Here is a 26,698-nt window from a genome sequence, read left to right as displayed (position 1 = left end):
AGATTCTGTGGCTCTGCCATATTTTCAAAGTTTTCTTCTAGGCTTCATTTCAGCTCACTTAATTCTCTCTTCAGCTGTGTATCTTACTCTTAAGCCAGCCCATTTAGTTTGATTCATTAGTTTTATTTCTAGAAGTTCTAGTTTTCCAAATTTTGTTATATCACCTTTAATAGATGACTTCCTTGCAGACAGTGTGTTTTCAAACTTAGATCAAAGACAACCAGGCTTACTATGTCTGTAGGTATGTATTTGTTTATAGTCTGACAATTTTTAAGTCTTTGTGTAGGATTGATTTCTGTTATATTTTCTGTTTTTCCTGTTGGCTGTGAAAATTACTTGTATGAATTTTTTAAGGTCTAGAAGGAAGCTTTCATTTAATTTTGATATACAGGTGTCTGAATATACCAGGGACAGATCATTTTAAGTACATAGCTTGGGGTTTGGAGGGCAATACAGATGAGGTAAATTTGGGCTGTTTGTCCAGGAGAATGAATTTATTCTTGAGGATATAGCATTTTGGGGTTCCTGCTTAATTTGGGAGGGTTACCATAAAGATAGCCACCGTGGACAGGCCCAGAATTTTAACTTTGGTTAAAACCAAAGTTCACGTTGCTGATAATTGGCAGTTGACCTCAGTGCAAAAGTGCCTTCCTTCTGCTCCTGTTTTGCCCTCAGTTTTGGGCTGGTGATTCCTTACTATCTTGTTAGCATTTCAGTGCTTTTAAGATTTTTAACAAAATGTTTTTGTTAAAAAACATCTGTACTTTTAATTCTTTTCCTTTTTTTTTTTTTTTTTTTTTGAGACAGGGTCTTGCTCTTACCCAAGCTGGAGTGCAGCGGTGTGATCTCGGCTCACTGCAGCCTCCTCCTCTGGGTTCAAGCAATTCTCCTGCCTCAGCCTCCTGAGTAGCTGGGACTACAGGTGTGTGCAACCACGCCCGGCTAATTTTTTGTATTTTAGTAGAGACTGGGTTTCACCATTTTGCCCAGGCTGGTCTCTAACTCCTAAGCTCAGGCAATTCGCCTGCCTTGGACTTTCAAAGTGCTAGGATTACAGGCGTGAGCCACTGCGTCCGGCCATATTTTTCATTGGTAGAATTGATCTGCATAATCTAGTTTGTCGCTTTCAGGAATGAAAGTTTTTCACAGAGATCTTGGAATGCAATTTAATGTATAACAAATAAGATTCTCACTGATTTTATTTAATGTCAACTGCAGTAAAATATTAATACAGGTATTAACCTAAACTTGTGTTTCTCAATGTGGTCTACCTGAGAACCACCTCTCAGAAGCTGAGTTTCTTGTTTAGAATGCAGATTTTTGGGTCCCACTTCCTCAGATGTTTTTCTGCTTTATATAGATGATGAAATAGAGCCAGAAGTTGTTTGTCTTAGTTTGTAGATTGCTACAAAGTTGATGTCAGCCCAAATGATCTGACTACAACTGACTAGAAAATTAGGTCTATCTTACAACCAAGAAATACAATGTAGCCAGAATGGGCAGGTTAGAGCAGCCTTCTCTGGAGGAGTAAATGCCTCCTGTTAATGTTCTGTAAATGTTCTGTCTTGGATCCTCTTTACTAAAGTTTCATTTTAAGAATTTAAACTGTAAATGTAATGCTGCAAATGGACATTGAGGTTAGCAGTGTAGCCATTCTGTGAACACATTAAAATGTTACAAAAATTTAAATTTGGAAGTTTTAGGTTTTGTTTCTGTTTTTGACAATTGCTGGGTTTAGTAGACACTATATATTAAACCTAGCAAATCTCAGAATAAATTTGTGTATTGGAAATTATTATATAAATCTGTGTGTTGGAAAACCAAATGCAGTCATGCACCACATAAATACTTAGCCATTATATTAAAGTTGCCTATGGTATTCAATACAGTCACATGCTGTATAGGTGTGTAGCCTGGGAGCAATAGTCTATATCATAGCCTAGGTGCGTAGTAGGCTATACCATCTAGGTTTGTGTAAGTATACTCTGATGTTTGAACAACAATACAATCACCCAGAGACACATTTCTCAGAACATATAATCCACACATGACTGTAATGGTGAATGGGAAATTAGTTCTCATTACCCCCAGTCCCTTCTTTCTCATTAGGTTACTCTGGTTAGGTTTTTGGTGTTTGTTTTCAGAAAGGGTTTATTTGTATTAAAGTATGTGCGTATATGAGTGGAGATATATATATATATATATATATATATATATATATATATATATATTTCCATATCCAAAGGGGATTTCGGCATACATCCTATACCTTGCTTTAGTGTTCCTTCATATCAACTCAGATCTGTTTCATTTGTGACTGCAAAGCATTCCATTTTTGCATATTCCATTATAGTACTAAGTTTATAATAAGCTTTGTGTGCTACCCCAAAGAAGACAACGCTATGATTGTCAAGATCAGATTTAATTCCTGTAATCATGAATTTTGTCAGTTGGGAGAGACAGACCATAGGTCAAACTAATTTATAATTACAGACTGAGACATCTTATGGTGGAAAGAAAAGAAAGCTTTATAGGAGTGTGTGTACAACCAAGAAATCTTACTTAACCGGAATGTGCAGGTTGGAGAAAGCATCTCTGGGGAGTGAAACTTTGAAATGAGAGCCAAAGGATGTGCAGGACTTGTTCAGAGCTGTGGAAGAACCTTCTAGGTGAACATGGAAAGCAAAGGCATTAGATTCTTTATAATTTTTTCATGGTAGAGCTCATAAGTGAATAAATCTGGAGATGGACATATTTTGTTTTTTTAATTTTTATGTTTTTAAGAGACAGTGTCTCATTGTGTTGCCAAGGCTTGTCTTGAACTCCTGGCCTCAAGCGGTCCTTCTGCTTCGGCCTCCCAAAGTGCTGGGATTGCAGGTGTGAGCCATGGTGCCTGGCTGAGATGGACATGTTTAAGGCTTTTGATATTCCTATTGTCAGGTTGCTCTCCAGAAAAGATACGGGAACACTAGCTGGAAATAAGGATGCATGTGCACTACAGGTTTCCCTGTATTAAAAAGAAGTTATTGATGATGTGGTAGACAAACTGGAATCCTACTTGGATTTCTTTGATGTCAGAGTTCAGTATTTTTCTTATTTTTGATTAATATTCATAATTGCTAAACACTTTGTAAATGCTGACTCATTACCCAGCATCACTAGAAAAATTCATCAGTACTATTAGGAATTATTTATAACAAATACAAAATATTTACAGAGTTAGATACATTAGGAAGAATAATTTTCTTTATAATTACTCTAAAGGATAGATACTAGGTCAGTAATAATGTTTCCCCCAAATATTAGCACTTAACTGCTAAAATCAGGATGTTTTCCATTTTTAACTCTTTGTTCATAGGCATAATACGTTGCTATGAAAGTAAACACATGCAGGATTTTGTGAATTAAATATGTATTAAGATTTTAATTTTTACCAGATAACTTGATTCTATTTATTCATAATTTTTTTAGAGACAGGGTCTTGCTGTATTTCCCAGGCAGGCCTTGAACTCCTGTGCTCAAAAGATCTTCCTGTCTCTTGGGCAGCTGGGATTACAGGCTCTTGGGCAGCTGGGATTACAGGCTCGTGCCACTGTGCCTGGCTAAGATAAACTTGATTTTAACATGGATTCTATCTAAACTTGGTTTAGTTTTTTTTGGTAATCTGTAGATTACCTGTGGCATTCTACCATTTTTTTCTGCCTGGATATAACACATCTGCTTTAAGATTTGTTTTTCCAAAAGCAGTATTCTCCAGGTTCATACTAATCTTTTAGTGAGAAGGAACTTAGGATATCCTCTGGTGAGTCTTAACAGTAAACTTACTCAGGTCTGGTAACCACAAGTCTTGACAATGTCCCTAGCATATCTAGGGGAAGCTGGAGGTTGGTGGTTGTCAGTTATCTAACATGAGGTACATGTACATTTGGAGAGATAGGGAAGGCTTACCTAACATTAAGATTGGGACCTAGAGCTTTTGAAATAGTCTAAATGGCTATTTGATCCAGGGATTAAGTCTTTTAAAAAGATATCCAGAGGGCATAGTGAGTACAGTAGGCATCAGATTTTGGTTTTCTTAAACATGAATTACATAAAATGAATATTGCTAAATACGAAATGGATAAATGGATTTAAGATGCTACGTAGTCTAAAAATTTAAGCAGAAATTGACCTTTCTTGATTGTTGAAAGAATTTGAATGAAGATCCTTTTGTACTGTTCCTTTCCTATGATTCTAGCAAATGTTAGTTTTGTTTTTAACCAATGGTGCTATTATCATAGTCTTTATACAACAGATTCTAAAAGCTTAGTGGTAACTTTTTTGTTTTAAGTAATATCCTCTGAAAAATTATTTTTGGTACTAGTAAGGAAGAATTTGCATGTTCCATGAGTTTTTTCTTCTTAACACTGATAGTATTTTAAAGGAAATAGACATTTCTTGGGATAGTTTTCAGTATGGTATTGATTTAAAGGGTTTTGGTTTCTTATTTTTTTTTAATAAATCATATACTTTTTTTTTAACATTGATGTTTCTCTCCATAGATATTTGGAGTTCTTACAACATGGCAGACATTGACAAGTAAGTGGCAGAGAGTTGGTTCTTTTTCAGAGATTTGGCATCACTTTGTACTCTGTTCTTAACAGCAAGTAGTATGAATTATATATTATGAAAATGTAGTTACTAATGCTTAGTACCTACTTTTACAAAAGTCTAGTGCAGTGTATTCAAGGTAAAATATAGAATATATGATCATTAGCATATTTATGATCATATATTCGAAACCATCGTATATACTAAACCATTTGTCACTATTTTTAAGAAAATGCTGAGCATGATAATGGATTATAAATACTTGCAGAATTCATTTTTATTGTATATATTTCCCAAAGATTTACTGCTTGCATTGTAATGTACCAAACACCCAAAATGTGTATAAAATGTATTTATATATAGAGCTTAAGGAATATTCAGACAAGTTAAAAATAGAACATTACTATCAGAAGCCTTGTGTGCCCCTTCTCAATTGCACCTTTCCCTTGCAGACATGTAAGTGCTATCCTGGCTTTTGCTAATTCTTTTCTTTGCTTTCCTTCAGAGCTTTACCACCTATAAATAATCAGTGTTTAATTTTGAAAATCTGAATAGTGATCACAAAGTTAGCTATGTAAAGCAACATTGCCACTTTGCCACTGTTAATTGAAGGCTATAAGATAGGATAACAAGGAAGAAAGACTATCTGGGTCATAGTCTGGCCTCAAGTTTTGTGAGGCTTTATAAAAGACTTATTGTGGAGAAGTATTGGGCAAGGTCATGTGTCCTGGGAAGTATAGGTTTAATCAAGTTGGCATGTGGCAGGATTCTAATGTGGATGGATGTTTTATAGAAACAGGGTCAGGAAGAATGGGATGAGGTACACAGTGTTTGTTGCGTGTAATTTTACAGTAGCCCGTGTTAAAATAGAGCACTTGGGAGTGAGGGGATGCTAAATTATTTTCCATAGCTGTTGTAGGCATCAGCGAATGATAGTGGGAGGGCTGGAAACTTCAGTACAAGATCAACACATAGAAGTACAAATAAGAATTTGGGCCACTCTTACGCATTTTATCTTCAGCATTAAAAAAAAACAGATGAGTGACTTATGCATTCTGTCTTCAGCATTAAAAAAAACGAGAAGAGTGGAAACGGCATTTTTAATAATAATGGTTCCCAAAGTGATTGTCTCCTGTGTCACACCTCTAATTTGGATTGCTTAACCTTGGTGACATGGCTGTCATTGGATCTATTTTACTATCTTCCTGAGGTTTCACCTTGTTTCTCCTCTTGGGTTTGTTGTTTGCCATATCTCACATTGCTTTCTCGGTTTGTTAGTACCTTCTTGGAAGAGTACAAGGGAGCTAAATTATTTTAAGACATGTCATGACTGAAAACGACTATTCTACCTTTATGCCGGATAGTTTGGGTGTAGGATAGTAAGATGGGATCATTTTTCTTCAGAATTTTGAAGGCATTGCTCCATTGTCACCTTGCTTCCAGTGTTGCTGTGTTGAAGTTCAGAGTCATTGTAACTAACCATTTGTGTGTGATAATTAAGAAATATGTACATTTACACTATATATACATTTCTGGAAGCTACTCTGGCTTCAGAGTTCTGAAATTTTCACATTATTATTTTTTTCTCTTAATGTTACATATTCAGTGGTGGACCCTTTCAGTGCAGCAATTCAGTGGCTTTTAGTTCAGGGATATTCTTGATTGAACTTTGTGATTGTCTCATTTGTTTTCTCTTTCTGGAGCTACTATTAGATGTTGTGTGTTGGATTGCTCTCATGACCTTTTGTCCTATTTTCCATCTCTGTCTCTTTGCTCTTCTTTCTGGACAGAACTGAAGACTTTCAGCTTGTGTTGAGTTTTAAAATTTCTGTTGTTTTAGTTTCCAAGACCTGCTTCGTTCTTCCTGTTTTTTTGTTTTTTTTTTTTTTTAAATAGCATCCTCTTCTTGTTTCATTGATGATAATGTCTTTTCTCTGGATGTTTCTTCCATCTTTATAGTCCATTTGCTCTTACATTTTCTTTCTCTCATTTGTTTTGGTCTCAATCTAGGATGCTTTCCTCAAATATAAATCAATACTTGGTTGGCTGCTCATTAAGATTGGATTGGGTGGGGTGTAGGGACACTTCAGACATGTTTAAAAAAGAAAATTGATTGGAAAATTTGAGCGTTGGAGTGGGGAGGCTTGTTAATTTGGGATTTCAGTGTAGGGTCACCAGAGTGGGCATTTGTTAGAAACCCCAGTGTTAGAATGGTCATTTTTTTTTTTTTCTGGGCTAGTCAGATTCATCGTTGAACAGTGTCTGGGTAAAGATCTGGCTTCTGGTGTTCCTTTAAATGTAGAGGAGGCTCTACATTTAGCATTCTAATGTGTACATAGTCCTATATCTTTGATACTGTTGACTGTGTCTGTTGTCTTCCAGTCCAAGTTCTGAATTTTACCCTTTCCTGAGAGGAAACTGAATATTTCTGCTAGTGTAGAGAAGATCTAATGATTTAACTGCTTATCAGTTTTTACTTTCTTGTTTTAGCGACCTTCTCTCCTGTCCCACCCCTTGCCCTAGTTCTAGAAATGTACCTGGTGCTACCAGTTCTTATCCTTTTGAAGACTGATTGGGCTGCTTCTCAGCTTTCCCCACTGCTAATCTTAGATTTCAGTTCTCTCAATGAAATTATCACTTGTCTGGTTTCCAGCTTCCAAAATGTTGCTGCCCTTGTTTTCTTTGATTTCAGTGTTAGCCTGCTAACAAAACAAAACAAAAAAACCCTTTATCATAATTTTAGTGGAGATTTTAGAAGGATTAAGATCAGATGAGTTTGTGGCATCTGCCATCTTAACTTTGCAACTCTCATTTTAAACTTTAAAAAGAGTAAATTGGTTGTGACAGCTTGATTTCCCCCTTCCTTATTATTTAATTTTGGATGCCTGTTAGCCCTGGGAGGGTGGAAGTCAGAGGGGAGTCTTGTGCTTGAAAACCAGAGTCAGTAAACCTTTCTCTGTAAAAGGCTTGGTGGTAAACATTTTCAGCATTTTGGGCCACATACGATTCTCTAACTGCAGTTGGCCCTCTGTGTCTGTGGGTTCAGCATCCATGAGTTTGCATCTATGAATTCAACCAACTGCAGATGGAAAATATTAGGGTAAAAAACAATAAAATATAACAGCACAATAATAAATACAAATAAGCAATAGAACATAACAACTATTGTTTGTTTGTTTTGTTTTTAATAGAGAATTCTTACTGTGTTAATCAGGCTGGTCTTGAACTCCTGGCCTCCAGTGATCCTCTTGCCTTGGCTTCCGGAATGTTGGGATTGTAGGCATGAGCCACTTTGTCTGGCCCAGCATAATACAACTATTTACATAACGTTTATATGGTATATAGTATTATTATAAGTAATCTAGAGGTGATTTAAAGTATGCAGGAGGATGTGCATAGGTTAGTTGTAATTACTGTGCCATTTTATATAAGGGACTTGAACATCCCAGGATTTTGGTAGGGAGGTTTCCTGGAACCAGTCCACCATAGACTCTGAGGGATGACTGTACTCAACTCTGCTGATGTAGTGTGAAAGCAGACAATACATAAATGTAGTGCATCTGTGTTCCAATAAAATTTTATTTACAATAATAGGGTGGGCTGGATTTGGCCACATGGGCATAGTTTGTGGACAGCTGTTTTAAAGCCTTTGGATATAGATGTTCAATTGATTAAAGACACGAGAGGAGGAGATGCTCCAGTTATCTGTAACCAGTGACCGTTAAGTGTGTACACTTATCAAACACTTAAAGTTTATACTAAATCAAAGTTCTTCCAGAAATAGGCTGGGCGTGGTGGCTTATGCCTGTAATCCCAGGATTTTGGAAGGCGGACGTGGGAGGATCACCTGAGGCCAGGAGTTTGAGACCAGCCCAGCCTGTCTCTACTAAAAATACAGAAATTAGCCAGGTGCAGTGGCGCACTCCTGTAGTCCCAGCTATTCAGGAGGCTGAGGCACGAGAATTGCTTGAGCTTGGGGGGCAGAGGTTGCAGTGAGCTGAGATTGTGCCATTGCACTCCAGGCAGCCTGGGTGACAGAGCAAGACACTGTCTCCCAAAAAAAAAAAAGCTTTCAGAAATTGTATGTATCATTTCTGAAGACTGAATTATGCTGGCAGAGTACAGTTGATTTTTTTCTGTACTTGCATGAAAATTAAGTCATTATTTGTCCCTGTGGAAAATTAATTTTTCAAATGCTGTTTAGACACAAAAGCAACTACATTTCTAATCCAAATGTTAAAATAAAAAATTTACACAGGAATTATACAATGATGTTTTACATTGACTTAGGAATCCTTATTTTCCTTTCTAATGCTAGATGTAATCTCATGTTCAATAATTAGATTTTTGGTGATTTTTTTTTTTTAAGATGAAATGGGAAGGATGCTATCTTATTAATTTTTAACCTTCTCTTTGAATGGTGCTATCATCTTGGCTTTGTTCTAAACAAGAGCTAGACTCAGAAGTCTTCACTTTATTCTTTCTCACCTCCACTGTGAAGTAAAGAAAAGGAAACTCCAAAGATAGTATAGGCTAGTATTGTTGCTCCACAGCCATAAGGGATCCAGGACTCTTCTGTTTTCCTAACTCCTTTTTCTTTAGCTGGTGGCTTTCATTCTCTAGGATGCCTCCTGGTCCAGTGTGGCTGCTGGAGCTTGAGCCATCACATTCATATTCTAAGTGGGAGGGGGAGAGGGATTAAGATAAAGGCTTCCCAGCTATCTACCATCCTGTTAAGGATACTTCCTCAAAGAAATACAGCATTTCTGCTTTTTTATCTTGCTGTCAAAATAGTGTAGCTAAAGGTAGGCTAGGAAATGTAGACTTTTAGCTTGGTGTGTTGCCATCTCATATAAAATGAGAATGTTGTTACTAAGAAGGAAAAGTAAAATCAGTAGATATTCGGTTGAATGCACGTACTTGTTGACATCACATTCCCCAAAAACCTGCAAAACCAATTTTATAAAGCTTCAAAAGTATAAACTTTACATTTGACCAGATGCTTTTAATGAAAGTGTAAGCACTTCCAGTGTGTACTTGTTTACATATGAAGTTAGAAAACGGAATTACCTTTTGAATTTCCTATTTCATGTCTTTGAAAGAGATACTAATTTTGAAAATGAATTTTAAGTTTTTCTGTAACTTTTTTTGGTAATTGGTACATTTGAACCTTGGTGTGATACTATGATATTATAGCAAAGAACAGTCTGAACTTGATCAAGATTTGGATGATGTTGAAGAAGTAGAAGAAGAGGAAACTGGTGAAGAAACAAAACTCAAAGGTATTACTTTAAATTACTTCAGGAGCCAGTGATTGCTGGCACATGTCTACTAGAGGGTAGTTATAAGTACCAGTCTATTTTTTTGGACCCTTGCTCATTGTCCCATTTATCTACTGGTCCATACTTCTAGTGTGTGTGTGTGTGTGTGTGTGTGTGTGTGTGTGTGTGTGTGTAAGGGGCGGGTAGGTATAGATACAGCAACTCAATTAGAAGTCATTGTTTGCATCCTGCACTGTTGGAGTGACTTGGTGTACTTGTGTCAAACAGCTGCCCATGAGTTTTGTCTGAATTTAGAAATGTTACAGGTTGTGATGTGGTGCTTATAACAGTATGTTTAGTGTTTAATATATGGAGAACATGTAGTGTGTGTCTTTTTAAAGATCCACTCCTTCAAGCAGAAGAGCCATTTATTAAATGTAGGTAATATTCACAATTTATTTTAGCAGATATTTTTAAAAGGAGTGGTGGTGGGGGATTGTACTACTTAGGGTATGTCTTGTAGATCTGCGCCAAGAATATTAAGGTACCAGATGACTCAGCTTTTCATTTTTAAGCCGGATGGAAGTTAATTGTGAAAAGACTTCAGAACTTGTATTAATAGCTTCAGCTTTTGTTTAGTAACATTTTCTTAACAGATACAGAACTGTATCCTCAGTGACCAATATTGATATTTAAAAATCTGTATTGGTTATCCTGGCTGTGTGTACATCATCTAGTAATTGAATTATTATCAGAAGTAAATTGACCTCAAAAAAAGTAATTGGGAAAATTAAGTTTATGGCACTTTGTGTAATAACTGTATTGATGATGAAGAGAAGGTTAGTACTGTAATTTGTTTTGTATAAGTCTAGTGCATATTTGGATTGAGTATGTTTTTAAAAAGCCATTGAAAACCACATTTTGTTTGGCTTTAGTTACAGTCTTTGACTGTCCCAACTATTAACTTTATTAACTTTATTCATACACATAGAAATACATTACACAAGCATCAAACATAAACATTCAGATCACTCACTTCATCTTTCTCCTGGGCCTAAAACTGTCAGTATATTTGCAGTTTTCTGATATGTGTTGTCTGCATTCAGAGGACTGTCAAGAGTCATAGATAGGCATCTGAATGAAGCTTTGAGCTTCTTAAAATGCAAGGTGGGTGAAACACAGGATACCAGGAAGAGAAAGGATATTGTTCATATAGTTGTGGCAGTGGCCTTGAGAACTGTCTTGACTAGAGATAGATTAGGAATCTGAATTATTCCTGAACATTGGGTTTTCCTTTAGTGTATTCTCTTTAGCTTTCCCTGCCCGTCTCTACTCATTAGATATACCAGCAATTTATGGGCCAGTTAGGAAAACTTCATGAGATTGGATTGTCCTATTAAAAAAGCATAATACATTTTCATAAAATCCTTCTTTCGATGCCCTTTTTTTTTTAAAGCACGTCAGCTAACTGTTCAGATGATGCAAAATCCTCAGATTCTTGCAGCCCTTCAAGAAAGACTTGATGGTCTGGTAGAAACACCAACAGGATACATTGAAAGGTACAGCTTTTCCATAGTCCTTATTTATCTTTCTATAATCAACGTTGCAGGCGTATCTATTTTTAAGACCATCTAGGATTTAGATATGCAATAGTGGAAACCTATTGTCTGTTAGTATCCAGTATAGGATTATTAGAAGTTTAAAATTGTGCTTAGTACCACCTGTTTGCATTGGTCTTTTAAAGTTTATTTATTGTGGTTCAAGTTTATAGGAAGTGTACTGATCTTGAGCATTTCAGAGATTTGTTTAGAGGTATGTTAGAAATGCACAGAATTAGAAGAAATACAGATTTCTTATTTCACTGATGACATAAATCATTATTAATAGCATGAATATCTTACTCAGCTTACACATTTAAAAAACTTTTTTGTGATTTTAAGATCCATTCAGTTACTGTCTATATGTTAATTATAGTTAGTAGCTTCTAAATGTTGCCTAGTTCTCTGTGGTATGTGTTCGCTGTGTTTTATTATCTGCTTTTCCTATGATGGACTTATTTATCAACACAAATTCTATTGTTATAGACATCTTTGTACATGTCCTGTAAAGGAACTGTGTGAGAATTTCTTTGAGATGTGTGCTCAGCAGTGGGATTGCCACCTACATAGAGTGTGGAAGCCTTTAAGTATTAAACTTCTAGCATGATTTCCAGAAATACTGTACTCAATGCAAGAAGATAGATTCATCTTCATGTCTGCCAACAATTGGCACCATCCAGCTTCATAGTGTTTTTGTTTTTATTTTTAAATCAGTCTAAGAGGTGTGGACTCATTTTGTCTTATTTGTATTTTATGATTTCTAATGAGTTTTTAGCTTTTCTACATAATGCTTGAACCTTTTTCGTTGCCCATTGGTACCCTTTTTCCACTTTCTTGTTGGGATTGCAACTTTTTTTTAATGCTTTGCAAAAGTCTTTGTATTCCAAATGTTATTCCCTTGTCAGTTTTTAGACATTCTAAATAATGTGTCATTTCTACAAATTTATCCATGGAGTCCTCTGGTAAACAGTTAAGTTTTATTTTAGTAAAATATTTTGCCCTAGGGCTTGTACTTTTGAAACTTTTTAAGAAGTCCCTCCTGGTTTCTGCTACATTTCGTATTGAATAGTTTCACCTTTTACATTTAGGTCTTAAATCCCTTTAGAGTCTACCTTTGTATTAGTTGTACGTAGGCTTCCAGTTCCTTTTTTTTCTGCCTCATTTTTTGAGCCAGGTTTGTTTGTTTGTTTGTTTATTTATTTATTTATTTATTTATTTATTTATTTATTTATTTTGGGTCCTCCTCCAGTGACATGAGCTAGTTTTTTTTTTTTTTTTAAACACTATTCACTAATCAATCCATTGTTCCCCCATTTAGGTGTACCACCTACCTTCATTGCATATCAAGTTGTAAACACCCGTGTTTGTCTTTGAGCAGCACTCTTATGTTTTATTGGTCTTTGTCTCTTGTCATTGTCATACTTAATTACTATGACTTTATAGTTGTCTTAATATTTGGCAGGGCAGGTTGCATCCTTTCATACTTCTCCCCCAATCATCCACATTTTTGACAGTTAAGTTTACCAGGGTTGTCAACAAGCAAAAAAACCTTAAAACGTTGATAGGAATTATATTGCATTTGTAGATTTACAGAATTATATCTTTTAATATTGTCTCATCCACATACTTCTAATTATTCAGGTCACATTCTGTGTCTTTAGTTTCAAAGTTATCCTCATAGAGTCTATTGGTTAAGTTAATTTCTGTATATTTTGTGTGGCTGTTGTGAATAGCATCTTTTTTGTATTTTCTGTTTGGCTGTTCTTGATTTACAGAGGATTGCTGTTTTTTTTTTTTTTAAGTTGCTCTTGTATCCAGTAACTTTGCTAAATTTATTGTAGTAATGTGTTCTGTTTTGCCCCCCAGTCACAAGATTTTATCTGCAAATAATGGCAGTTTTAGCTCTGTTCTTCCACATTACATTATACCACATACTTTTCTTTACAACATTACCAGGACTTTCACTACTGTGTTAAACATTAGTATTCTTTGTCTTATTTCTATTCATACTGGGAATGAATATAAAATCTCCATTAAATTCAGTGCCTATTTACTGTTTTTTAATCTGACCTTTGGTTTTTTTTTTTAACTGTATCAATTAAGATGCTCTATTGAACTTTTCCCTTCAGTATATTAAGTAAATAGTAAATACATGTTTTGGAAATACTTATTTTGGATATCAAACTAGCCTTGCATTCCTGTAGTAAATTGAATCATGATGTGTTATTGTTACATTGTTGAGTAATTGAATTTTACAGTTCTTACTTGTTAGTGAAATGAGCTTGTGTTGTGTGCATGCATGTATGTATGTGCATAAAGAAAGTTTCAGGAAGTGGTAATATTTAACTGGTTTTTGGAGTCAAGATTTCAATTGCCTAAGGAATGGAGCAGCTTTTAAAATTTTTCGTTTCCTGAAACAACTTGCATAAGATAGCAATTAGCAGTTCTTAGGGTAGAACTCTTCTAAAAATTTACTTTGGGACTTTGGAGTTGGGGAAGTAGAGGTCCAGGGGAGTTTTGGAGAATTTTTTTTTTTTTAAACATACTAATTTATTCAAGTTCTCTCATCAGTTTTGGAGTTTCATATTTTAAACATGTACATATTTAGGTTTAAAATTGATTAGTACATAGTTTACAATAGTTTTAAAAATCTGGTTTTCATATTCTGTATTTTGCATCTTAATTCTGCTGGTTGTCTTGATCTTATTAAGTTTTTAGAATATTAATTTTGCTTTTGGTTTTCCTTTTCCATACTGTCTTTTGTTACTGCTGCTGTTATCTCTTTTTTAGGATTGCTCTATGTTATTCTTTCCAGTTTTTTAAATTGAATGCTTAATTCATTTGATTTTTATTTTTTAATTTGTGTTTTTTATGGCCTTAATACTCTTACTTTTGTAAATGTTGAGTGTGAAGATCTGTATGCTGAAATTAATAGCTCAAGCTTATTGTATTGTTCAGCTTCTCTTTATTTCTGCTTATTGGTTGTCTGTTTGACCTGACAGTTTTTTCTGTCATTTGTAGATTGAAATATTTTGGAGCCATATTAGGTGTATGATATTTGTGATGAACATTTCTTGTTCTCTTGTTTCATTTTACTGATATGTGTCTTCCTTTGTGTTTTATAATGTTTTTTGGGGGGGTCATAATTTTTATTTGTCTGATATTACAATAATAACCCCCAGCTTTTATGACAAGGCCTTACTCTGTGATCCACTCTGGAGTACAGTGGCACACTCATGGCTCACTGTGATCCTCCCACCTCAGCCTCCCAAGTAGCTGGGAGCCACAGGTACATATCATCATGCCTGGCTGTTATTTTTGTAGAGATGGGGGTCTCCCTATGTTGCCCAGACTGGTCTCGAACTGTTGGGCCCACCTTGGTCTTCCAAAGCGCTGGGAATACAGGCATAAGCCATCACCCCCAGCCTCTTTTTTTTTTTTTTTTTTTTTAAACTTTTAACCTAGTATGTCTTTTTTTTCCATCTTTTCATCTGTGTGTCTTCCTCTAGTATCAGTGTTTGCTGCTTTTATTTTTTGGATACAGTGTCTCGCTTTGTCATCCAGGCTGGAGTGCCATGGCACAATGACGGCTCACTGCAGCCTCATCCTTCGGCTCAAGTGATTCTCCTGCCTCAGCCTCCCAAGTAGCTGGGACTATAGGCATGCACAACCATGCCTGGCTAATTTTTGTATTTTTGTAGAGATGGGGTTTTGCCATGTTGCCTGGGCTAGTCTCGAACTCCCGAGTTAAAGTGATTCACCTGCCTGGGCTCCCCAGAGTGCTGGGATTACAGGCATGAGCCACCACACTCGGCCTCAATGTTTGCTTCTTTATTATTAGTTGCATTTCTTAGAAGTTGTATTGTTTTTGGATTTATTGCTGCCATCTTTCTCTATTTTTTAATTTATTTTACTTTGGGTCTTTCTTCCTTCTTTTCTGCTTCCCATTGGATAGATCAAGTCGCCTTCTGGTTCCAAAGTTAATGGCATTGATTTTTGTTACTATGGTAGTGGCTTATAACCTAATATCTAAGTTTATTTACCCCTGTTGATTTCTTAAATTTACCAATATTTATATTGTTCATAAATGTGCTTTCTCTGGCCCTCTATTTTTCCCTTCAAGGAAAGAAATTTACCAAGATATTTGACCACACCCATACCTTAAATAGAATCTGCTGGATTTTTAAAAAATTTTCCTCAAAAGTTGCTTTTAGTAATATATAGTGAGTATCTGTGGCAAACCTGAAGCCTGGTATACCTGATATAATTTTTGTCCTGCTTTTATATCTGAATAATAGTTTGGTTATGAAATAGTAAATTCAGAGTTCTTAAAAACTACAATTTATTTTTTTCTTTATTTCAGTGTTTCTTTTAATGCCTGTTGTTAGTCTGATTCCTTTTTCTTTGTAGGTTATTCTTTCTCACTGGACACCTTTAGAATTTTCTTTTGTCTGTGATATTCATAAATCTCATTAACATGTCTAGGAAGCAGAGTAAGGATTTTTATATTGCTTTAATGCTGAGAAATGTATCATTCTCATATGTGAAGAGATCGTACCCCTTCTCTGTCAGCTATTGCTACTTTTGTCGTCCATATCTCAGAGCTTTTCTATTTTCCATCTGTCTTTCATGCTGCCTTCTGGTAGAACTTTTCAACATCATGGACTTTATCTTCAGTCGAATCTATCCTGTTTCTCTTATTTGTTGCCTATTTTAGTTATTGTATTTTTCATACTTAACATTCCCAGTCTGTTGTAGATTTCTTGGTCTTGTTGCATGTCAATCTTCCTCATCTCTAAGTATATTTACATTCTTGTTTAAATTCTCTAATTATGCTGCTTCAGATGATAATCATTTCATTCACTCTTTCATAGAAATTGTACCCTTGAAGTTTCTAGTTATTCTCTGAGCTCCAGCACATTAGGCAATACCAGTTACCCTAATAATGAATATTTGGGGAGAAATGAAGGTCTGTGACAAGGAGAAGGGCGCAGGGTGAGCCTAAGTAGTAGAGCACTAGTTGCCTTACACTGAAAGTTTGCTGCCAGTCCAGGCAATTTTTATGGTGTGCTTTGTAGGGTGGGGGACTAGTCTCCTTTGGTTGTCAATTCATCATTCCTAGATTGGATCAAATACATGTTTGAAGGCTTTGAACCGTGCAGCTTTCATCAACCCTCGCATTGGGCTCTTGTGAAGGGTGAAGATGACAGACAACGATTGTTGCAAGGCAGGAGCAGAACTTAAAAAGCTTTCTTGCGGAACTGCTATCTTCCAGTTTGTCCGCACTGCTACCTGCTGTGGCCATTCCCTCCCTAAGTTGTTGGTTACCCTGTACAGTTAAACACAACCTCCAGTCTTACCTGAAATTGCTTATGGTGTGTGTGTGCCTCAGTAGTTACTTCATTCTTGTTCTAAAGTTTCTGGGATTAGCTTTTTGGGGGAGCAAGAAAAGCCAGAAGCCCATGCCAGTTCACCACCTTGGCAGAATAGTGCTTTTCACTTAAAATTAACAGAAATAGAAAGTTGATATCTTCAAGTGTTTGTTTTTTATTTCTAATAATCTTAAGTAAACTGGTGGCTAAGTAAGTGAATTATTTGATTTACAAAAGTTTGTGGCAGGAAAGTTTAACCTGGATTTTGTATCTGTTGCACAGATTCCCTGAAGTTATTTAAATTTTAAGTGTGAACATTTATTGTTAGAGAGGTTTAATCATTCTTTAGGAGACTCATAACCTAGTGTGTATAACCTTTTAAAAATCAGTGCCCCCTGTTCACATTAGCAGACATGGAATCAACCTAAATGCCCATCAGTGACAGATCTGATACAGAAAATGTATACACCACGTAATACTTGCAGCCATACAAAGAACGAGATCATGTCTTTTGTGGGAACGTGGACGGAGCTAGAGGCTATTATCCTTAACAAACTAACACATGAACAGAGAACCAAATATCGTACATTCTTACTTACCAGTAGGAGCTAAATGATGAGAACTCATGAACACAAAGAAGGAAACAACAGACACTGGGGTTACTTGAGGGTGGAGTGTGGGAGGAGGGAGAGGAGCAGAAAATTAAGTATTGGGTACTGGGCTTAATACTTGGGTGATAAAATAATCTGTATAGCAAACCTTCACATACACCCCTAAACCTAAAATAAAATTTTAACAAAATAGTGCTTCACAGTTCATTGTATGGTGTATGAACTTTATCTCATCAAAGCTGTTATTTATTTTTGAGACAGGGTCTCATTCTGTCAGCCAGGCTGGAGTGCAGTGGTGGTGCAATCTTGCTCAATTCAGCCTCGACATCCCAGGCTCAGGTGATGCTCTCATCTTAGCCTTCCAAGTGGCTGGGACCACAGGCATGCACCACCACACCCAGCTAATTTTTGTATTTTTTGTAAGGACAGGGTTTTGTCATGTTGCCCAGGCTGGTCTTGAGTTTTTGGGCTAAAGGAATCCACCTGCCTCGGCTTCCCAAGGTGCTGGGACTACAGTTGTGAGCCATAGCACCTGGCCCTAAAGCTGTTATTTTAAAAATACATGTCTCCTCTTTATAGTATGTTACACTTGTATTTAATAATGTAATTACTAATTCCTAATTAAATATGGAGACTAAAAAAATAATGGTGTGTGGAATCTTGTCCTTTTTCCTGATATGTCTATGCTCCCCTCCTTTTTCCTAATAACTTGTATGGGTGAGATATATGTAAAAGAAAAATCCAAGTAATCATTGTTCTCAGAATTAAGATGGTCTGTCCATGACTTCAGCAATGACAAGTCCAACACTTAACTTGGGTAAAGATTTAGGGTTGACAATATGATTTACATTTTGTTTATCAATTTACCCAGTTACATTTCTACTTTTGAAATATAGCCAGTGGATCAATGTATTTATATCTATTTGATTTTTATTTACTTTGAATCTACCTTTTGCTTCAGATAAAAAACCTGTCATTCACTAACTCCAATGCTTCAGTTTCAGTATGACAAAAGAAGTGTGACTTCCATTTTACTCTGATGCTATATAACTGATTTCTAACCTTTCAGCCTGCCTAGGGTAGTTAAAAGACGAGTGAATGCTCTCAAAAACCTGCAAGTTAAATGTGCACAGATAGAAGCCAAATTCTATGAGGAAGTTCACGATCTTGAAAGGAAGTATGCTGTTCTCTATCAGCCTCTATTTGATAAGGTAATGCTTTCTCCTACTTTGTTTAATTTAACATTCTAGAAGACGAATTCTAGAAACATAAGCAGACTTGGAAGAGGTTAATCTTTAGAACTCTCATTGAAATTGTTATTAGAGGCAGCACTTGGAGGAACTATCAATAATAGCAGTTAAAGTTGTGGTATGCATTTGTTAAATTTGTAAGACTTCTTAGTGAGAAACCACTGGTTTTAGCTTGGATGCCAGTGTTTTTATACAGCCTTTTTTTTTTAAATCATTTTAGCGATTTGAAATTATTAATGCAATTTATGAACCTACGGAAGAAGAATGTGAATGGAAACCAGATGAAGAAGATGAGATTTCGGTTAGTACCAACTTTATTTTGGTATGTTTTTAAGATGATAAAATCTTAGGACTTGTCAGAAATGTTAGCATTTAATGATGGAGTACAATATTATATAACCAGTTGTATTTTTTCATTTTTTAATTTTACGTCTTTATTACACGTTTTTCTATTACTTTATTTTTAAAAAACAGTCATTCAAGATTGTAATTTGCATGGCAATAAGCAGCGGTTTCATGGGTTCTAAGTTTCTTAAGTGTCCACAGCAGTTTAAAACACCACAAGTCTTATTTCCAATTTGCAGCACCTGACTTAAAGTTCGAATTCATCTGATGGAGCATTAAAACTGTCATTTTCTCTTGTGAAAAGACATAATTGCTATTTCCAGGACTGTATATTGAACATGGTTGTACATTATTTTTAATTGGTTAGTAGAATTTTACTCATGTAATTTATATCCAGAATAAGAACCTCTAGCATCTCTGAATGGCCTTCCTCTCAGAACGATGATGATTAAATGTCTAAAATGTATCTGGGGTGCCCCCACTTGACATTACCAAACATGTTTCCAAATAATCTTAGAAAATATGATTCTTTAAACATATGCATACCACATCTTTAAACATAAACATACCACACAGTGCACCATCACTTCCTTAACCATTTTCCAATTGTTCACTTATAACATTTGCAATTTTTTATTATAAATCATATTGTGATGAATACTTTCATCCATAAGTTTTATTGCAAGGCTTATTGTTTCTTCTAATGTCTTCTAATTTCAAAGAAGTGGCTTACTGGTTCAAACAGTGCACATACGTGGTTTTAAGGCTTTTAGTATACTTTACCAAATAATCTCCAGAATAGCTCCAACAACTCCTACCAACAGTATGTTATTGTGCCCATAGGGTGGACTTGATAACAGCAAAGCAAATTCAACCACAGATATATTAGATTCTCACCCATCTCAAAACTATCACATCAGAGAAGCAAGGAGACATATTATTGGTGAGGAAGCCAAATTCAAATTCTTTTAAAAAATCACTCAGCTTTAGATCAGTAAAATAATCAACAAAAATGGTCACCGCAAAGTCTACCGGGTTTTTCAAAAAATAAAAAGAGAGAAAGAGAAAGGCCAGGCGCAGTGGCTCATGCCTGTAATCCCAGCACTTTGGGAGGCCTAGGTGGGCCAATCACTAGGTCAGGAGTTCGAGACCAGCCTGGCCAACATGGTGAAATCCCATCTCTACTAAAAATACAAAATATTAGCTGGGTGTGGAGGCGGGTGCCTCTAATCCCACCTACTCGGGAGGCTCAGGCAGGAGAATCACTTGAACTCGGGAAGTCGAGGTTGCAGTGAGCCGAGATCGCACCACTGCGCTCCAGCCCAGGCGACAGTGTGAGACTCCGTCTCAAAAAAAAAAAAAAAAAGTACCAAATAACCAAAATTTTTTATTTGACTAAATTCTGTTCATGTATGAGCATGACAGTCTCTCCTGTTTATTTGACTTTGGCAATAAAAAAATAAGCAGCCTTGTACAGAACAGGGAAAATGCCAAGAACGAAGGCAGTCTACAGTTTTACTGTAGAATACATATATATATATATATATATATATATATATGTAGGCCTCTCTCCCTTTGGCCATATCTACTGTCAGTTCAGGCCATTAACTACAGACAAATTTTCAAATTCACTTCTTCTCCAAGATCTTCGATGCTGTCATCATCTACTTCTGTCTGTTTTTCCTGAATGACCTCAATTATGTCATCTGTAAAGTCTCCTTGAATGATAATTTCATCCTCCTCTGTTACTGAGGCACCACAGGAGAATTTTTGAGCAAAAAATCTTTGTGTGATTTAAGATCAATTTCAAAAGTTACAAGGCCACAACCCTTGTCACATATTTCTTTGCTCTGGGAATTTTGGCTATAGTAACCTTTTGTGGTACCGTCTTTGTTTTTTTGTTTTATTTGACCCCTTCCACCTCTCTTCTGTTTTTTCTTCTCCTCTTCTTCCCCTGCTGTTCCTTGACCTTGACAGATTCCAGCTTCTTGTTTGGGTGAATTTTCCACAGTAAGTTTTGCATATTCATTTGGAAAATTCTTCTCTAATCATTGTCTACATTTAGCAACATCAGGCATATATTCACAGTACTCTATTGGTAATGAACAGACTCCACAATAAAGGACTCAAAGTAGGTAATCAGCATCTAACTTGGCTCTGTTCCTTGGGTCTCCTTTGCAGTCAGCCCTATTGGAATCGGAAACGTCAGCAGCCATTTCACAAACCCAGGCAGTTGCACAGGCCCCGCCAGCTCTGCTCCCGCCACTGTTGCCAGCTGAGCCGACAAATGCAACTCGTTTCCCCGGCCAGGGCCTCCCTAGAGCATCAGTTGTATTTTTATACCTAGGAAATATTTTTCCTTTTTGTAAGAATGATAATGCAGATGAACTGTTATTCAACCTGGCACCACCATCTGTACTCAAAAAGTCATTATTTCCTTACATTTTATAGTTTTTTTGTTTAAGAGACAGGGACTTGCTGTGTTGCCCAGGCTGGAGTACACTGGCATGATCTTGGCTCACTGCAGCTCATTCCTGGGCCCAAGCTATTCTCCCACCTCAGCCTCCCAAGTTGCTAGGACTATCTGAAGCTACTATGCCCAGCTTAATCTACTTTTTTTTGTAGAGGCAGAGTCTTCTTGCCTAGGCTGGTCTTAGACTCCTGGCTTCAAGCAATCTTCGCACCTCAGCCTCCCAAACTGTTGGGATTATGGGCTTGAACCACTGAGCCACTGTGCCCAGCCTATTTTTATAGTTTTTTTGAGTCTCTGTTGCCCAGGCTGGAGTGCAGTCTCGGCTTATTGCAACCTCCACCTCCTGGGTTCAAGCAATTCTTCTGCCTCCTTCTCCCAGTAACTGGATAACAGGCGTGCGCCACCATGCCTGACTAATTTTTTGTACTTTTAGTAAAGATGGGGTTTCGCCATGTTGGCCAGGCTGGTCTCCAACTCCTGACCTTAAATGATCCACCCACCTCACTTCCCAAAGTGCTGGGATTACAAGCGTGAGCCACTGCGCCTGGCTTACAGTTTTTAGTTTGTAGATTCATTATATTCTTTTTTTTTTTTTAACTTCATGGTAGGCTGAGGATTGTTGCCATTTTCAAGTGAAGACATGGAGGCTTCTAAGTGACTTGCCCACAATGAATAATGGCAGAGCTGTGACACACATTCAGTGCTGTGTTAAGTGTTCCACCTCTCTAGCATTGCTATTTTATGTTGTTTGGTAAAGAGAATATAATGTTTTGATTAAGAACACCATGGGGTGAGGCAATGGACCAAATTAGTATTTCTGTTGCTTTTCTTGTTTATTATGCTTAAGTCTTCATTTTTAATTAGTTTTTACATTTTTTTTTTACTAAAATGGTTTTTCCTACACATCTTGGTCACCTTAGTGGTTCTCTTTGGAGGGGTGTGGTAGCAGTAATTTTGATGGGATTAAGGTTTGTTATGGGCAACGGCGGTGTTTACACAGATAGACTAGAACTTTGAAGGTAATATCTGGTGACTGTGCTTTTTGGTTTTTATACCTTTGCTACTTTATCATGAGGTCTAATCTATGTATTAAATAATGTTTGCTGTCACTTAATCAAGGAGGAATTGAAAGAAAAGGCCAAGATTGAAGATGAGAAAAAAGATGAAGAAAAAGAAGACCCCAAAGGAATTCCTGAATTTTGGTTAACTGTTTTTAAGAATGTTGACTTGCTCAGTGATATGGTTCAGGTAATTTTATTCATAAATGTACCAGTTTACTTTGAAGGGTAAACCTTTGAAGTTTAAATGGCTGTGATCACTGTTCTCTTCAGTGTTGATCTTTCTAGAATGATTGCTTACTTTTGAAATAGCTAATATCTGTAGAAGAGAAATTACAGCTTTGATTAATGTAATCAAATAAATTAGTTTATTTTAAAAAATGAGATAATGAAATGGTCCCATTGATAATGGCTCATTATCGACTGGTGTTTTCTTATAACCCTGTGCCTTTTGTCTTTACATACTTAGTATGGAAGTATGATGGGAAAGTTAATCTTATAGCTGCAATTATGCAATTCCCTTAACTCTTCCAGGAGAAATTTGCATTTTAAAAGAATACCATAAAGATGTTAAACTCATTCACAATGGTTACATTCTCTGGCAAACCATAACTGTTGTCACCTTTGGGAAACTGCCTCAAGCATTTCTTGAGTGAGCCCCTACCGTCTACATTGTAGTAGTACATGTTGCCCTGTCTTGTCATTGTTGGAAGTTACATGGAGAAAAAGAAATGATCTTCACACAATTACTGCTTATTACAATTCTACTTTAGCAAAGTGGAAAAGGAACGACCAGGAGGAAGGGGACAAGCAGCTGGAAAAGGCAGCAATTACAATCAGGAAACATTTTAAAAGTAGATATGCCTTATTTAGACTTGATTTTGGATTTTTCAACCTATATAATAATTCAGTTGTCTATTTGGACACTTTTTCTCTACCAGTGGCAGTAGAACTACAGTATAAATTAGCTTTAGTATAAGCCATAACCTGGAGAGTAAGTCTTAAGGTTCATAATTGCTATACAAAACTACTTTGAAATATATTATGTCTCAGTCAGCTGGTGTTTGTGTAGTAACAGAACACAGTCCTCGAATGCCATGTTATTCATTTTTATTATTTTTTTAATTTGAAGGAACACGATGAACCTATTCTGAAGCACTTGAAAGATATTAAAGTGAAGTTCTCAGATGCTGGCCAGCCTATGGTAAAAGAACTTTGAAATATTTATAATTTTGTAACATGCTTACAGGTAGATAAATAGAAGCTTTTAAAAAGATAACATTCAAGGGTAAGGTTGGTGCTCTTTGTTATAGTGAATAAATATTTGGATGCTGCTAATTGTGAGGCAGTATTTATTCCTTTTCCTCCTTCTGATCATAAATTGTGTTTGAAACACAGACAATCCTTGTTCCTGGATAAGTGGATAAAAATAATGCCAAGGGAACATGAATAAGTACTTTTTCTGCATTAAAAGGCATGAGCTTGGGAATTACACAAAACTGATGTTAGAGGATGCCCACTCCCTAATGAGGAAAGATCAGCCAACAAGCTGTCCACCAAACCACCAGAATTAATGTCAACTAAGGGCAAAACTGCTAAGAATATAGGCTGTAGATGCTTAAGGTTGGGCTTTTTCTGTGTCAAGTTCACGTTTAGTCTACTATTTAAAAGCCTGATTCCTCCAGTAGTTGGGGAGTAAGGGAGGCAACATGGTCACTTTATTCAGGAATGCCTAGCCTGTTGTGTAAACATGTTAATTATTTAATAGATGTAAATTGAAACTAAGTTCTATTCAGTTCAATTTGTACCTCATTATTATTTTAACGTAATTTTTTTGATTTTAACATAATTTGGGGCTCATCTGACAGTCTGTCCCATTCTTAAATATTTCATGGCTGGGTGCAGTGGCTCACACCTGTAATCCCAGCACTTTGGGAGGCCGAGGTGGGTGGATCACTTGAGGTCCGGAGGTCAATACCAGCCTGTCCAACGTGGTGAAACACTGTCTGTACTAAAAATACAAAAATTAACTGGGTGTGGTGGCACACACCTATAATCCCAGATAATTGGCAGGCTGGCGCACCAGAATCACTTGAATCTGGGAGGCAAAGGTTGCAGTGAGCTGAAATTGTGCCCCTGCACTCCGGCCTGGGCAACAATGCAAGACTCAGTCTCAAAAAGAAGATTGTATTTCAGAGTAGAAAAAAAAATTATCATTTAGAATATTTATAAAAACAGATGAAGCTGTGTTTACTAAAGTACTGAAATATGTGAGGTAGGTATTTAACTGATTTTTATGCTTCCTCTCCCCAGAGTTTTGTCTTAGAATTTCACTTTGAACCCAATGAATATTTTACAAATGAAGTGCTGACAAAGACATACAGGATGAGGTCAGAACCAGATGATTCTGATCCCTTTTCTTTTGATGGACCAGAAATTATGGGTTGTACAGGGTGAGTTTAATTTTACTACCTTAACAAAATGTTTTTTCTGTTTTTGTTATACTTGATTTGTATACTCGGTTATTTTCAGTTACATATGTACATAGTCTGTCTCTGAACATTTTGGTAATATGTTTTCTGAAAAGTGCTTATCAAGTTTCCTGTAATTCTCCTTGGACCCATGACTGTCTCACATATATTTTTGCAGAGGAATGCTTCTTTAAATTATACTATGTGTTTGTGCTAATTGTAAATGTGTTTATTTTAAATATTTGCTTAGAAATAAAATTTTTCCCTTTATACTGCTATAGAAAACATTTGAAGCAATTCACCCTTCTAAAATTTGAAATCTAAATAGAACATTTACTTCTAAAAGTTTAGCAGTTGAAAGATTGTCAATTGTAATAGATTTTTCTTCTTTGTTTTGCAAGGTGCCAGATAGATTGGAAAAAAGGAAAGAATGTCACTTTGAAAACTATTAAGAAGAAGCAGAAACACAAGGGACGTGGGACAGTTCGTACTGTGACTAAAACAGTTTCCAATGACTCTTTCTTTAACTTTTTTGCCCCTCCTGAAGGTAAATAATGTTTTAGCTTGAGTATTAACGGTTGTTTTATAAAAAGCATTGCTTAGCTTCTTATTCATTGTAATTTCTTTTCTCAATTTTGCAGTTCCTGAGAGTGGAGATCTGGTAAGTTGAATTGTTATATATTTATTGAATTGTTAAGTATATTTGAAATTAAAGCACTGAATTTCAAAAATGGAGAGTGGGATGGTTGTTACATTGAGTTCTGAGGCCTACAATGCATGGGGCAGACTTTTTGGATATGAAAAATAATTCCATTCAAAATTATATCAGTGCTTCTGCTGAGAAACACTGAGATAAAAAGCTTAAGGTTTTCTTTTCTTTTGAAACTTCACATATTGCTGTGAGGGATTTAACTTTTCAAAACTGTTGTCTTCCTTAGTAAAACCAGAATATATTAAGTCACTTATACTGTTACATTCCTAACTACATTATGGTTCAAATTCATTCCTGAATTTGTTACTCCAATGTAAATATGGTTTCATATTGTGACTAAGTATGTTCACATATATGGCATATGGCAAAGAACATGAAATGTTCCTGCCATATAGACTGAACTGAGGAACAACCTTAAAGAAAGTCTATACACACAAGGTAGGGCAGGTATGTTTTGAATTTGGTTTTCTTTTGGGCATGTTTTTGAATTTAAATTAACTGAGATAGTTTAAATAGTTTGTACATATATGGAATTAGAAATTAACCTAAACTGAATACTTTTGAATTGGAATACTCTTGGCTAAGACTTAGAACAAATTTGTAAAAGGCAAAAGTAAGTATTTCTGGCTTGGCTTATAGGACAAAAAAAGAGAACATAAAGCAGTGTGAATTTCAGGTGAGAAAAACTACTTTAAGTATTAAGATAGAGCATCACACTATTTTCATATCAGTGGATGGGTTGGAGTTTGTGTTCAAGTTTGGGGTTTTTTTTTGTTTGTTTGTTTGTTTGTTACTAAATATTGATGATGACAAAACAGTCTAGTTAAGGATAGAAAACCTCCACCTGTGGTTTGAATTCCTCCCCACCCCCTTTTGGATTTTTCTATTTATTAGATTATGTTGTTGACTCAAACATTCATGGAATTCACAGAGGGTGTGCTCATTGTTTAGTATCAT

General features: G+C 36.0%; 1 protein-coding gene and 1 pseudogene across 9 annotated transcripts in view, besides 2 other annotated features; one reads left to right on the top strand and one right to left on the bottom strand.

The window, feature by feature from the left end:
• Positions 1–26,698, top strand: part of NAP1L1 (nucleosome assembly protein 1 like 1) — a 48,101-nt gene that overhangs the window by 5,905 nt on the left and 15,498 nt on the right. For 5 of the 9 annotated variants that reach the window (NM_004537.7, NM_001330231.2, NM_139207.5 and 2 more), the window contains exons 2-11: positions 4,542–4,578; positions 9,787–9,872; positions 11,308–11,410; positions 18,502–18,643; positions 18,903–18,983; positions 22,620–22,748; positions 23,691–23,762; positions 24,872–25,011; positions 25,431–25,576; positions 25,671–25,690. In NM_004537.7, coding sequence (NP_004528.1) covers positions 4,562–4,578; positions 9,787–9,872; positions 11,308–11,410; positions 18,502–18,643; positions 18,903–18,983; positions 22,620–22,748; positions 23,691–23,762; positions 24,872–25,011; positions 25,431–25,576; positions 25,671–25,690 — 936 coding nt within the window. In that variant the 5' untranslated portion in view covers positions 4,542–4,561. The remainder of the gene's footprint in view (positions 1–4,541; positions 4,579–9,786; positions 9,873–11,307; positions 11,411–18,501; positions 18,644–18,902; positions 18,984–22,619; positions 22,749–23,690; positions 23,763–24,871; positions 25,012–25,430; positions 25,577–25,670; positions 25,691–26,698) is intronic. The other 4 variants (XM_047428879.1, XM_017019340.3, NM_001330232.2 and 1 more) reach the window with 1 other exon arrangement.
• On the bottom strand, positions 20,463–21,351 carry DENRP2 (DENR pseudogene 2; annotated as a pseudogene).
• Positions 22,529–23,441: an enhancer, noted in NCBI's record as "OCT4-NANOG hESC enhancer chr12:76449120-76450032 (GRCh37/hg19 assembly coordinates)". NCBI's record gives its function as "activates a minimal SCP1, AML or CMV promoter by ChIP-STARR-seq in naive H9 embryonic stem cells {active_cell/tissue: H9 hESC(naive)}" and the evidence as "EXISTENCE:reporter gene assay evidence [ECO:0000049][PMID:30033119]".
• Positions 24,571–25,071: an enhancer, noted in NCBI's record as "H3K4me1 hESC enhancer chr12:76447490-76447990 (GRCh37/hg19 assembly coordinates)". NCBI's record gives its function as "activates a minimal SCP1, AML or CMV promoter by ChIP-STARR-seq in primed H9 embryonic stem cells {active_cell/tissue: H9 hESC(primed)}" and the evidence as "EXISTENCE:reporter gene assay evidence [ECO:0000049][PMID:30033119]".

This window comes from Homo sapiens, chromosome 12 (assembly GCF_000001405.40).
Source record: "Homo sapiens chromosome 12, GRCh38.p14 Primary Assembly".
NCBI lineage: Eukaryota > Metazoa > Chordata > Mammalia > Primates > Hominidae > Homo > Homo sapiens.
The sequence above is the reverse complement of the archived record's forward strand: the minus strand, read 5'-3'. Positions and strand labels throughout refer to the sequence as shown.